The following is a 14,524-nucleotide window of genomic DNA, read 5'->3' on the forward strand; positions in this document are numbered from 1 at the left end:
CCCCATTACCTCTTGACTGCGCTCAGCTAGGACTTAGCCCCAGCAACATGGATGGCAGGATGAAAAATACCAATGTCCTGCTCCTACTGGGAAGAAAGCCTTCCAACTGTGATCTTGGGATAAAGAGAGCCTGCTGTTCTTGGTTGCAGTAGTGTGGAGTTCTACCTTACTGAGTTCTGAAGGTGGGGAAGGGAGCAGTCAGTTCACAAACCATAGTCATCAAAATTTCATAGTGTAGGGAGGATAGTTTCTTCATTTGGTCTTTAAATACTTGGAGTTTTCGTTTTATAGTTTTCACCAGTTTTTATTTGGAGTTTATCTTAATCCACTTGTATTGCTATAAAGGAATACCCACGGCTGGGTAATTTATAAAGAAAAGAGGTTTATTTTGCTCATGGTTCTGCAGTCTGTACAAGCAGCACGTACCAGCATCTGCTTTCGGTGGGAGCCTCAGGCTGCCTCCACTCAAGGCAGAAGGCAAAGGGGAGCCAACATGTCCAGAGATCACGTTGTTACCAAGAAAAAGGGGCATTGCTAGCCTGATACGTTAGAAGCCAACGCTATGACACTGTGGGGTTTTTTTTTTGGAAAAGAAATGCTTTTTATTATAAATTGACTAACAGGGAGACAGGAGTCCAGCTCAAATCTGTCTCCCTATGCTGGCTTTAAGGCAGTAATTTTATTAGAAAAGGTTCAGGGGGTAGATTCTGGGATTAGCAGGTGATTAGTAGAAGAAAAGAGAAGGTCTGGAAAGTCCTCAGGGATGCATGTTTATCTCTGCATGCTACCTCATGGGTCTCATGTGCAAATTTGGGAAGAATTAGTATGAAACATGCAGTAGAAATTGGGCTGGCTGTGACATCAGCGAGCTCATTCTGCACAAACTCCAGTCAGCCATGTTGCTTCTAGCCAATTTCAACCTGTTTTTTAATCTCACAAGCAGAGGAAGTTTCAGCATTTTAGCAAATTGTTCCTTATCTGCTATCTTGCAAACTCAAGAATTTCTGTTAGTCGTAGATTGTTTTTAACTCTTTGGGCATTGTTTCAACATGGCAAGAGGAGCACCAGGAGAGGGAGGGGAGGGAAGTACCAGGCTCTTTTAAACAACCACCTCTCATGGGAACTAATAGAGTGACAAATCACTCACCTCCCACCCTCAGGGAAGGCACTAATCTATTCATGAGGGATCCACCTCCATAGCACAAACACCTCCATTAGGCCCCTCCAACATTGGAGCTCCAATCTCAACACGAGTGTTGGAGGGAACAACATCCACACTATAGCAGAGCTCCTCAGGCTGTTGTGCTAGAAGAAGCCTCTCTCCTCATCCATTTTAACAAGCAGTGTTCTGCCTCTGCTTGAAAACCACCTTCTTAAGGCAGGATATTCCATCTTTGGAAGCTCTAACTAAGATAATTCTTCCTTGTAGTAGGTGATGCCAATTGATCCTGGTCCTTCCCCTAAGACCTACCAAAAATAGCTTAATCCTTCTGTTAGAGAACAGACTTTCCAGTCCTTCATGTAGCTGAGGTCCTGAATCTCCAGCCCTTGGTGGTCTCTTGTCCAGGCAGAACATCCACAATCCATTTCCTCTATCTACTCCACCCTATCATACCACATCTCCTTGAGTATTACCATTGTACTTCAGGTGAGGTCATTTTAGAACAAAATGACATCATCATCTTCCTTACTCTACATTCTGTTTCTGTAAATGGAACCAAAGCACATAAACTTTTTTAGCAGCCATTTTGCATGGTTGATTCACAGCTAACATACTGATATCAAACTCCCGATTCTGTTCACATGTGCTATTCATGCACATACCCTTGGTTTCTGGAGCCAAGTGCAAGGCATTGCTTATATTGTTTCAGTTTCTGACCCTTGGGAATCATTTTTTTCCTCCCAAGGATAGGCCTCTTTTCCCTTTAAGCCATTGATAAAATATTTGTATATAAAAAAGCCAAGGTTGGCCAGGCGCGGTGGCTCATGCCTGTAATCCCAGCACTTTGGGAGGCCAAGGCGGGCAGAATACCTGAGGTCAGGAGTTCGAGACTAGCCTGGCCAACATGGTGAATCCCTGTCTCTACTGAAAAACACAAAAAATTAGCTGGGCATGGTGGTACGCATCTGTAATCCCAGCTATTCGGGAGGCTGAGGCAGGAGAATTGTTTGAACCTGGGAGGCGGAGGTTGCAGTGAGCTGAGGTCATGCCATTGCACTCCAGCCTGGGCAACAAGAGCGAAACTCCATCTCAAAGGAAAAAAAAAAAAGCCAAGGATAGAGCCTTACAGCTCATCATCAGAGACTTAGCTAACATCATTTATTAGCTCCCATGCTAATGCAACTGAGAGCTAATGGCTGTGGGTTTTGCGCTTGTTAATATGACACTTCAGCTTGAGTAGTTGTCTGTTCCCACTCAGATTGTCATATGTGTGTCTTATTATGGGGCTGTGTGTGAGACCATCTCGGTGCCAGTAGTTCTCTATACTATCCTATGCCCTCTATGGAAGGGAACTCCCTCAGCAAAACAGGAGTTGCCTCACGGCTACCGTCTTCTTGGATGTTGAGATTATTGATCGAGTTACAAATAGGCCTTTCCCCTCCAACATGTTTCCTGATGAAGCTTTTAGGCACTTCCCAAAATACATGGCAGTTATCTTCTTTCTCTTCAGTATGTGTGACAGAGCCACTAGCAGCCTGTTACTGTGCATTAAAAGAACTCAGTAGGCCGTTCTTAATTGTGCTGTGCTGAATTATCACCCGTTTGTAAAGGTCATGGAATTTGAACAGAGCTTCGCAGATTGTGCTGCTCTAATGTGTGTGGTGTTTTCTGATGGCTGACATTCTGTCACTGCAGAGCGTAGCCTTCTGCCTGGACCTCTGTCTCAAATCAATTGTGCCAGCCCTGAAAGCTCCCACTTCTTCATACAGTATCAAACATTGGATTGGGCATGTTTGGGAAACAGTGGGACTCTCCATTGGCTAAAGCAGAAGGGAAGGAGGAGGAGATGAATGTGAAATATGGGCAGGTGCTTGGTGCAGTCTGCTGGGGCTGACAAGTCACAGCCTTGGGACTTTTATGTTTTGTTGTTTTCTACAAATATCCTAGGTGTGTTCTAGTTAGAATTTACATTTCTTCCATCCTAATATTGAAATTTTGCTCCCCGGTTTTCCATGAAATATCAACTGATGGTGGGTATTATTCCAGACATCATAACACCTCCTTAAAAGAGAGCCCCTACTCTGTGTTGTTGAGCATCTGGATTGTGTTGTCTTCCTTTAGAGACTTTTGAGGTTTTTTTCTGGCAAGCTATTACTATTAAATCAGCCACGTATTTTTGAGGCTTATTTTGAAGTTCTGCTAGGGCAGATCCCCGGAGTATCCCTTTCCCTAGTACATGCCCTGTAACAATAAATCTTTCTGGATTTTTTTAAGATCTTCCTGTACTGACAAAAGGAAAACGTAATTATGGAATGGCCACAGTATGCCACGTGGCAAGACTCCAGGTTTGCACAGGAGAGTGGCCCCTGGAAGGGGGTCAGTCTCACTGTCATCCATCAGTGTCCCCGTTTGTAATGGTCCTGCTCTCTGTCCTGGCATCTCAGGATAATGATGACTCAGGAAAATACCTCCGTTACATTGTGGGTGGCAGCATCCGGCAGTGATTTTTTAATGTTTGGGAATTTGAGCTTCCCCTGCCTGTGAAGTAGATACACTGAGATGGCCACCCCTTTCCAACCCTGTCAAGAAAACAGGAAGCCTCTCATGAATTTGACCAAGGAGCTACATTCGTTCTCTAAAAATTCAAACTGTATTCTACATTTTTTAATCCATTTTTAAAAAAATATATAATGAGATGATCAGCTTTTGTCACCACAGATTTTCCCCCAAGCTGTTGCCTTTCAAAGCAGGTTGGGCAAGGAATACCAATCCTGTGTGGGAACAGTATGTGGGTTTCAAAGACTTTAAACCAATTGGGGGACATTTTCTTTTGTGAGGGAGCAAAAACAGGTGACCAACACCAAACAGAAGATACTTAGGTTCCCTCATCTAATGACACAGCCTTCACCTAGTGCTAACCTTATGATGGCACCACACAGGATCCCGGTAGGCACTCGGGCAGATGTAGCATCAGCCCCTACAGACACAGACCAGGCAACCCAGGGTGTCCGCGAGCAGCCCATGAAACCGTATACATTCAGAGCACCTTATGTTTGTCACTAACATGTCATAGTGGGCTTTAGGGTTAGACCTGTTATCAAGAGTTACCCTGTCTCTTACAAGCTGTATTTTAATATGTCTAAACTTCAGTTTCCTCACAGGTAAATTAGAGAAAATAATTTCTCCTTCATTGGGCTAATGTATACATTAAACACAAACGCAGCTAGCAGAAGGCCAGAGACTAATGGACAACAGGAAATGAGCTTTCTCCATTTCCCTTCCCAGCCCTTCCCTCACAAGAAAGAGCCTTGTAAGGTAGGCTGTGCAGAGATTTCCCTGTTTGTAGTTGAGACAACTGATATGAGGGATATCAACACAACTAATTAGTGTCAGAGCCAAGTTCAGACTTTTTTCTGTGATGGCAGAAGGCATTCGTGAACGCCTAGTGTGTACCCAAAACTGTCATGACATTGTATGTGAAATGTCTCACTGCAGAATGAAGCTTAGTTCTTAACACTGGGCTTTGGTCTAGGCTTCCAAAGTCATTTTTAAGCAGAACACTAGTAGCTATATTTATTTCCATTAGCTGCTCTCTCGTTCTCTCTCATGGGTCTTTTGTTTATACTTTATAGAATGATGGGATGAGTTTTGAAATTAAAGCAGAATCATGAAGGATCCCCAGAAGGAGGGCAGGTGTCCGTCAGTTTCACAGGAGCTTGATTAGGCAAATTGACCCAGGCAAGTCCTACACTGCTCCTCACACAACCTTTTGGGTCCCTTGAAAGTGACTTTCGGCTGGGCACAGTGGCTCACACCTATAATCCCAGCACTTTGGAAGGCCGAGGCAGGCGGATCACCAGAGGTCAGGAGTTCAAGACCAGCCTGACTAATATGATGAAACCCCGTCTCTACTAAAAATACAAAAATTAGCTGGGCATGGTGGCATGCATCTGTAATCCCAGCTACTTGGGAGGCTGAGACAGGAGAATCACTTGAACCCAGGAGGCAGAGGTTGCAGTGAGCTGATATCGTGCCACTGCACTCCAGCCTGGGCAACAAGAGTGAAACTCCGTCTCAAAAAAAGAAAGAAAGTGACTTTCGTCAGGCTTCTTCCAGACTGCTGCCGAGAGAATGGCAGACGAAAGGCATCTCTGGAACTGGACTGTCCCAATTCAGATCTGGGCTCCACCACCAACCAGAGTGACCTTGGCATATCACTGAATCCCAGGACCTGAGTTTCTTCACCTGTAAAATAACAATAAGAAAAGTACCTACCTCGTAGGGTTTTTGAGATCATTAAATGAGATGATCCATGCTAAGTACCTGTAACAGTGACTGGCACATGGTTATTACACGATCGATAAAGTGAGCCGCTGCAGCAGGGGAGGGAGGGTTGTCGCATCTGAGAAAACGTAAACCAGTGTTTTTCCCCTGTGCTGTGAACGGTCACCATGTTGTTTCTTTTTAATTGTGGTATCGAAGGGCTTGGGTTTTTAAGGTTATTTTTCACTGAGCCTTTCAGTCTGTCTCTGTGGCCTCAAGCACTCGCCTCCCTTAGAACTGCTCATTCTAGGGTCATGACTACTACTCTAAATGAATCTCCTGCAGAGACTTTCTGCCACATTTTCCCCTCCTCTCTCTAGGCAGCTTAGCAACTTGTCTGCCTGTTGTAGTATTTCATTACCTAATTCATTATTAGCTGGGACCTACTGAGAGTTTTGAGGCATTGGAGAATGAGGGTCTATGAAGAGTCAGGTTCAATCTGAGAGCAAACTGTGTTGTGGATGGGAATTTAGAAAAGGTATTTCCTGGTTGCAGAGGGGAAGGAGGTGTGTGGCTTTTCCTTTATCTCTGAAGCCAAACTTTGATTTAGGCAAAACTTTTAACTATTAAGGACCTCCAGTGTGAAACAGCTTAGGTGGTGGCAAAAGACTGGCTGAGGCTATAAGAGATACAAGGAAAGATTTGAAAGTGAGGTGGAGGGCAGGCAGGGAGAAAAGGTGGAAATATGCTTCTCAGTCCACTCGTCCTACTCCATCTCCACCTTCATTGCCACCAGTGTCAATACAAAGTGGCCCGTGTCTCTCGCAAACTAGGTTTGATCTTCTCATGTGTTAGTGTAGAAAGATAATTAGGAAAGGAAGTGTTAGGGTTTTGATTTCAGGATCTTAGTAATTGTAGAGAGTAAGAAACGAACAAGCCGAGCTCAGGCTTCTGTGACTGTCCGTGTCTTCAAGTATGATTTGGAAGGCTTCGTGTCCAGTATCCCTAGGAGTAGTACCATCCCTGTTCTTGAGAACTTGCCCTGTAGGGTGGCAGTGGATCATGGTTGTTTTCCTATATCAGAGCTTGATATGTTTGTTAAGAGGTCTGTGACCGGGCACGGTGACTCATGCCTGTAATCCCAGCACTTTGGGAGGCCGAGGCAGGTGGACCACCTGAGGTCAGGAATTCAAGACCAGCCTGACCAACATGGTGAAACCCCATCTCTACTAAAAACACAAAAACTAGCCGAGCATGGTGGTACATGCCTATAATCTCTCCTACTCAGCTGAGGTAGTAGAATTGCTTGAACCTGGGACGCTGAGGTTTCAGTGAGCTGAGATCACGCCACTGCACTCCAGCCTGGGTGACAGAGCAAGACTCCGTCTAAAAAAAAAAAAAAAAAAAAGAGGTCTGTGGATCCTGAAAGCCCTGATTTGTTTTCTTCCTTCCAGCGGATGTAGTTACTGCTCCCACTTCCACATCTGTGAGTCACTGAGCTTTGCAATGTGCTGGCACCCCATGTTAGCCCAACACCCCTCTCCCTGGGGCTCTCAGAGATCATCAGGACCTCGTTTTCCACAGGATTTCCTTTAATGCTGAGTACTACAAGGTCATTTCCAGGGTTGCCACTGTTTCTTCCTCTCGTATTCACTACAGTTTAATTTTTAGCTCTTAACACTGGACTTTGTTACATGGGAAGAAAGAAATTTGCTCTAACAGACAGCAGCAAATGCATTTTTCCTTCTCTTCCAGTTGGAAAATCACTCCTAACCAGTTTTATCCTTGGGGAGGTTTAGTGGTCTGAGAATACTTTTATGTTTTTGGAGTGAACAGAGATTATGTTCATATTTGGTTGCTTCCCCTTTATTTTTTGTCTGACCTTAATTTGGCATCTGTAGACGGAAACTGTTACTTATCTTCAGGGCTGCCATGTATCTTTGTGACATTGCCCCTAATTTGCTTCTGAATATGCAGTAAAAGATAAAAGCCATGATTAGGCTCAGTAAACATTACTGTTTTTCTTGAAACTTTCATGCCCTAAATGCCTGTTAATCTCATGGTGCCCACCTCTTCCCTGGATGGTGGAGTGTGGCCTGAGGTGGCATTGCCCTTTGATCAATTGGAACAAAGACTCAGAGGAGAGATGTGACCTCCTCAGGTTATACAGGGAGCTGGTAACAGGATTGGAGCCCATGTTTCCTGATTTCATCCCATTGTTCTTTCTAGGGGGACACTTCTCTCTGGGAGTATAAACAACACAATCGCAGTAATTACTGCCATTGATTGAACATCAAATAGATGCCAAGCCCATACATTATGTCTAATTTTCATAACAATTCTGCAAAGTAGAGTTTTACAGATAAAGAAACTGAGACTGAGAGAAGCTAAATTCCTTGCCCAGAGCCACTCACCTAGTCTTGGGCAGAGTCCAGATTGAGCCCAAGTGTGTCAGAGCCCTGCCCTGTGTTCTTACTGCATGGCGAGGGTTGGTCACAACGCCAGTGATAAATAGTAAGAAATCAGAAATCTGCATGCCGGCCCTCCCATCCCTTCATTTGATCAGCAGATGATGACTCTGTGGCTGCTCTGTGCAAGCACAGTACTGGGCACTGGTGAGCAAGACAGAGGGAGCTGACCTTAGCAGCTCTCATTTCCATAAAGTTTTCCCTCTCACACTCGGCATACCCTCTCCTGCACATCCCCCAACCTCCTTCATTACCCAGTTTTGCCTGTGCACGTTGCTCTGATGTCCCCTTCCTTTCTGTTTCTGTAGCCACATCAGGACGAGGGCCACATGATGTTGCTTCTTGGAGACTGGCTCTGTGCGCAGTACCTGCGGGCCTTCCTGTGCTCTCTAGTTAGTAGCGCTCAGTGAGAACTTGCAGAGTCCCGTGCATCTGCTACGTGTTCTGTGTGCATTACCTTCTTGAATCTTCATAGCCACTTTATGTGATGTAGCTATAGTCATTATCCCCATGTGAGCAAAAACAAACAAACAAGCAAAAAGTACCCAACTCGGAGAACTTGCCTAAGATTATGCTGCTAGTAATTGCTAAAGCCAGGGTTTGGGCTTAGGCTGATGAACTCTGCAGTGCAGGCTCTTACCCACCAACCTGTGCAGTGCAGACGCTTGGGACAGGTTCATGATATAGGGCAAAGAAAAACGTCCTTTTACCAATCTTATACATAAACAAAAACACTTCTGAAATCAACTTTTAACTATGGGTATCTCTGAATTGTAAGAAAAGCTAGCGTATACTGAGCCCTCGCCTGGTACTAGGCAGGCGACACTTTAAATATATATCTCATTTAATTTTTGGTAATCTCAAAAGGTAAGCATTACCCCTTCCTTCCCACAGGTGAGGCAATTGAGGCTTAGAGAAGTGAGGTGACTTGCCTAAAGTTACATAGCAGGTTACTGTCAGAACTAGTATCCAGATTCTCCTCTGACTCCAAAGCTTATGGCCGCCTCCCCCAGGATCCCATTTCTTCTCTCTGCATATGAGCTGGATCAGGTCCACTGAGAGAAGAACCGCAGTTTGGCAGGTCCCACCACAATAACAGGTGGAACAAAACATGGCTGCTGTAAGAGCAGGCTAGACCGGCCCTTTTCCCAAAAGCAGCAGACGAATCTTGCAACCCCATAGGTGGCGACCAGCTTTATAATGAGACAGGGATGAGATTTTTAAATGACAGTGCGTCTCCTGTTACCATGACAGAGAAAAGCGGTATCTTTGCTGGCCGTATGAAGTGATGGACATGGGAATGCAAGGCTGGAAGGAACTAACTAGCTCTGCATAATGGTGCCAAAGAGGGATCAAGAAACCTGAAAGGAACCTATACATACGGGACATTTGGAGACTCCATTGGGAAAAGGGTCCACAGACAGGTCAACCTGCAGCCACACCAAGGAGGGATCTTAGGGGACGTGCCGATTTCTAACTCATGTTCAGTATATATCTCACTAATAGCTGGTAGCATGGATTGTTTTCAGGAGAATGAAGGAAGCACCATGTTATGCTTCAGCATCGTGTAGAGCAAGTTGAGAGGCTGCCTAGCCACGTGATGTTGTTAATCGTATCGGTTTTTATTTTTCAGGGAACCTCAGAACCTGTTCTGGATCCACAGCAAATCCAAGCATTTGATCAGCTTTGCCGTCTCTACCGAGGAAGCTCCAGGGTAATGTTTGCGTGGTTGTTTATATTTTTATTTCCCTATTTATAGTTTACTGCTTTAGACAGGCAGTGTCTTGGAACCTCCCTCTAGCCTCCTTCTAGCCTGGAAGGTGCCCTGGCATCCCTGTTATGGCTACATGGACAACAGACCCTGGCCCCAAGGAGCACTCAGAGCTTGGCAAAGAGAGCAAAGGAAGTAGAAAGCTGTCTGTCCCCTACGTACCATGAGCTGTGAGGACACAGAAGGGCCTCTGTGTTTGACCTCCCTCCAGAGAGAGCAGGCCAGAAGGTTGATCCCAGGAGGGCTTTGCTTAGGATATGGATAGGTGCCCAATCTGTCCGAAGCCCTAGACCCTCCTGGGCATCTGCACTGGTTGAATTAGTTTTGGCCATGAAAGACAAATGCAAAGTAGTAGTGGTTTAAGCAAGAGAGAAGTGTAAATGCAGCCAGCCAGGGCACATCCACGTACCTCCCTTCAGCTTTCTTCTGTCCTGTTGCTCTGCCTTCCTTAGCACATGACTTAAACTCGTATGGTTCAACATGGTTGCTTCCACTTACCTCCACTGTCTAGAATTTAGACCCATGACCATACCTCACTGCAATGGAGACTGGGAAAATTGATTTTTATTCCAAAAGACCTTGGGCTACAATTCTTGGTCTAATCTAACTGTGGAAGAAGAGTACAGACTGGAGGGCTTCTATCAGTCACTGCCACCACATCAGACCGGGTGTCCCCCAGGCACTTTGGACATGTACTCATCGCTTTCTCGACCTGTTCTTCATGCCTGGTGCCTGCCTCAGGAATGATACCTCTGTCATCCAACCACCTAGAGCAGAGACCTGGCAGCACTAGGCTCACTCCTCACCTTCCTGCCACCTGACTGGGGACATCCTGTGGGATCTTGTCTACTAATCCCTCTTTTACCACTACCCCGGGTGGGGCCTCCTTATCACTCACGGAGGCCACTGCAGGTCTTCTGATTGGCTAGAAACCCTTCTGTCCCCTCTCCATGCTGCTGCCTGGCTACCCTTTCTAAAACCAAGTATGTCATGTTACTCCCTTGCTTATAACACATTCTGGATCTCCACCACCTAAAGAATGAGTCCAAACCCTACCATCTTCTTCACTCCCCAAATCACACCTCAATTCTAGGTGGTCCCATTTGTTCCTGAGCTTGTCTCGAGCTTGTGCAAACTGCTGTGTCCTCTGCTTCTCTACCTGGGCCCCCTTCACGCACTCCCCTTTCTTAGGCAGAACCTACTAGGTTACTTGGCAGCCGGAGGAAAGAGTGGTGCTCCTTCTTTGAGAGTTGGTGTGGGCAGAGGTTGTTATTCCAGGAAGTTTCTCTAGGGGTCTCCTGGATGCAGTCCAGCAGCTTTATTGAACTGGCCTCACCCCCATCCCTTTCCAGCCTCAGCTAAGCTCTGCCCCAGGAGTTGGGTTTCTGGGCCTTCCAAGGAGGTTCTTCTGCTTCAAACTGTTGAGCCCTTATTTAAGGCTCATTGATTTCCGGATCACAAAGTTACCAAAGTGGAACACAAAAATATCTGTTTTCCTGGGAAATAATTTTTTTTTTTTTTTTTTGCAATTGATCTTCCCACCTCACAGTGTCAGGATGTGAAAGCATTGAGTTGAGCGTCTGTGGCTCATTCTGTTCAAGGCATCGTACATAACAGTCATTGCAGAGAACGTCGCAGGCTGATGGGCAACTGAGAGGGTTACGGAAGAAGGAAGTGGCACGAAGTGGACTCTTGGCCCCTGGAGTAGTGCTTGAGTCAGAGTTACTGAGTTGTGAATGAGACCATACATGTGTCTCTGGGCCAGGACCTGGACCACTTTTGATAAATTGACACTTAGAACTTAGGGGCCTTCAGATGTCTTCCCAGTTACCACAGCCACTGGTACTGAGTTTTCCACAGAAGTGACACATGGACACGTGAGCTTGTGCCACCATTGCCTGTGTGAGGGAAAAACCCTTTGCCAGAGGTCGGAGGGCACCTCGAAGACATGGTGCCTGGCGGGTGAATCCCACACCGCCACTCACTGCTGGTGACCGAGGGCAAGTCACTGTGTTGTGAAGGATGAGAAATAACACACATGTCAAGGATCTAGCAAAGTGCCTGTCATGGAAAGACACTTGATACAGTCACCAGAGGTTGTTAGACATCCCCTCGGACTCCTGGAGTGTTTGGTAGACACAGACAGGGCTGCCCTGAGGAGTCTGATGGCCCCCTCGTCTCAGCTGTACACTCCCCATGGACCAGGCTTTCACTGGCCTCCATGTGAGCCTACACAGGGTCCCTTAGAGTGTTGGTAGTGGACACAGTGGCCCATCCCACAGGTCCCAACTACTGTTATTAGGGACCATTTTGACCTGGGCTCTGAGTTCTCCTTCACATTAGCTCTGTGGGGTGGAAGTTAACTCACAATGTTCTGGGAAGCAACAGGCAAAGACCCTAATCAGGCAGGAAGTCTAAGGACCTTGGGTGTAGAATTCGTCTCTCCTCTGACCATCAAGGGCACCTCAAGAGCCAGGCTGCCAGCTCCCTACTTTCGCAGAAAGCCTCTTTAGGTGAAAGGGATGGTCCCCCTGAGTGGCAGAGCACTGGCTTCCCAACAGGCCGACATTAGCATCTCCTCCTACCCTTCTGTCCTCCTTGGCAGGTCTTCCAGAATTGAGCCACTGACAGAACGAGGGTACTGCTAGTGTCATTGGTGGGAATAAGGAAGCTGGGAGCAAAGAGGACTCACTTGAAGGAGAAGGTAGAATCCAGGGGTTCCACTCTGGAACCCCTGAGTTTGAGTTGGCAGCTGGGTGTCTGTTTGAGGCCTTCCAGGTTACAGAAGAGAGGTCAGAGCCAGTGGTCATAATTAGTCATTCACCCCGAGGAGAGTGCACCAAGATGGAGAGGTTGGAACAAGCAGAGCTGAGAACAGAGCTCCTCAGCCCAGGGCGCGTCCACAGGGAGAGAAGGGTGGCAGCAGGGCCATCCACAGCAGCTGGAGGAGCCCTCAGCACAGGGCCAGCCCAGGGTGGGAGAGCTCTCCAGTGCCAGAGAGAGCACAGTTTGAGTGCCCTTGGGAGCAAACCAGTCCAGTCTCATTATTGAATGAGGAAATTTAGACCCTAAAAAATGAAGTGAACTTGCCCAAAGTCACACTGCTCGTTTGTGATATATGGACCTAAGATTCAAACCCTGCATGTTACTACTCCTGCAACACAGCACTGTCTCTCATGTATCTGAAGCAGTGGATTCAGGAGCCTCTCTTCCCTCTGCTCCCCACAAACCTTAGCTGATGTGTGTCCTTCCTTTGCAGCTGGCTCTCCTCACGGAACTCTCCCAGAATCGCAGCAGCGAGAGCTATAGGCCATTCAGTGGCTCGCAGAGTGCTCCTGCTTTCAACAGCATCTTCCAGAATGAGAACTTCCAGCTGCAGCTCATTCCTCCACCTGTGACTGAGGATTGATGACTCCATGGAGCCTGGCCCAGGAGAACCAGAGATGATCCCGAGGCAGCTGGGGAGAGGCCCCGCCTCTGGTGGGCTTGGCCTCCACCACCTCCCACGCTTCTGAGAAGAGGTTCCAAATTGGGCTTCTGTGCCCAGAGCGTCCACAGCACCATTCCCAGTGTAGACTCCCAGTCTTCTCCACATTGCTGTCATGGCGTCAGTTCACCAGACTCATTGATTTTGTTTTGCTTGTTAAGCAAAGGAATGTCACATACCTCTGTCCAGCTTTTTAGGAAATACATTTCGCCTATTGCGACTTTTTCCATTTACCCTGAAGCCTAGAAAGTAGGTGGAACTCACACAAATGGCATTCCAGAGTCTGCCATACTCCGTCTCCTCCAGCTGCTGGATAATACAGAGGAACTTCAACTTCTACAGGGAACAGTGGTTGGCCAGGCTGCAGTATAACTGAAGCATGCCTTGGAGAGAGCAGACACTGTGGGGGCCAGGGCCATCTCCCTTTAATGTGTTCATGTTAAAACCTATTTGAGTGTAAGACTTGCCCTTTCTAACAATAAATGCTCCGTGTTTAAGTTCTGCAGGTCTCCTGGCTGGCTGGCTCTCAGTCTGTCAAGTCATGGAGGACATTTCGAGCCCTGTTGTCACAATTTTATTAGCTCAAAGTCAGGAATCCTGCCTGTGACAACCCTCCTTAATTCAGATAAGCAGCTCCATTGTCAGCTGTATTCAGAGCAGCCCAGCCACCCATATGCTCCCGTGACAGGCGCTGGGCTGCCAAAGAGAATAGTACTCAGTTTTTGGCCATGGGACTTCGTATATCATTGAACCAACTGCCACAGGAGGTCGCCACACCCAGACACCTAGGTTTCCACCTTACATACTCAGATGATCCTTTTCTCAGTGCAATGGAATCGTCAGGCTCTCATGGACTGATACTAACCAAACCCACAGGAAATAGATACATAAACTAGGTAGAAATTTTTTTTTTTTTGAGACAGAGTTTCACTCTTGCTGCTCAGGCTGGAGTGCAGTGGTGCTGTCTTGGCTCACTGCAAGCTCCGTCTCCCAGGTTCAAGTGATTCTCTTGCCTCAGCTTCCCGAGTAGCTGGGATTACCGGCACCCACCACCACGCCCGGCTAATTTTTTAATTTTTGGTAGAGATGGGGTTTCACCATGTTGGCCAGGCTGGTCTCGAATTCCTGATCTCAGGTGATCCGCCTGCCTTGGCCTCCTAAAGTGCTGGGATTACAGGCATGAGCCACCACACCTGGCCAATAGAAATTTTTAACTCTTAAATAGAAAATAGATCTTGTTTCTGCCATGTACTACGTATAATCAACAAATCAGTTAACCTCTCTAAGCCTCTGTTTCTTTATAAACAGAACTGTTATGAAGAGGAAATAATACATGTAAACATTTGCTATGTGCCATTGAGGCACATGGCAAA

The 14,524-nt window shown here is 46.7% G+C and overlaps 1 protein-coding gene across 21 annotated transcripts in view; it reads left to right on the forward strand.

The window, feature by feature from the left end:
• The window catches only part of VPS8 (VPS8 subunit of CORVET complex), a 240,449-nt gene extending 226,787 nt beyond the window's left edge, over positions 1–13,662 (forward strand). For 12 of the 21 annotated variants that reach the window (XM_047447824.1, XM_024453426.2, XM_047447823.1 and 9 more), the window contains 2 exons: positions 9,527–9,607; positions 12,924–13,662. In XM_047447824.1, the coding sequence (XP_047303780.1) occupies positions 9,527–9,607; positions 12,924–13,073 (231 nt within the window). In that variant the 3' untranslated portion in view covers positions 13,074–13,662. The remainder of the gene's footprint in view (positions 1–9,526; positions 9,608–12,923) is intronic. The other 9 variants (NR_146113.2, NM_001349294.2, NM_001349292.2 and 6 more) reach the window with 1 other exon arrangement.
• Positions 13,663–14,524: the final 862 nt, after the last annotated feature.

Source organism: Homo sapiens, chromosome 3 (genome assembly GCF_000001405.40).
Source record: "Homo sapiens chromosome 3, GRCh38.p14 Primary Assembly".
In the NCBI taxonomy this organism is placed as follows: Eukaryota; Metazoa; Chordata; class Mammalia; order Primates; family Hominidae; genus Homo; species Homo sapiens.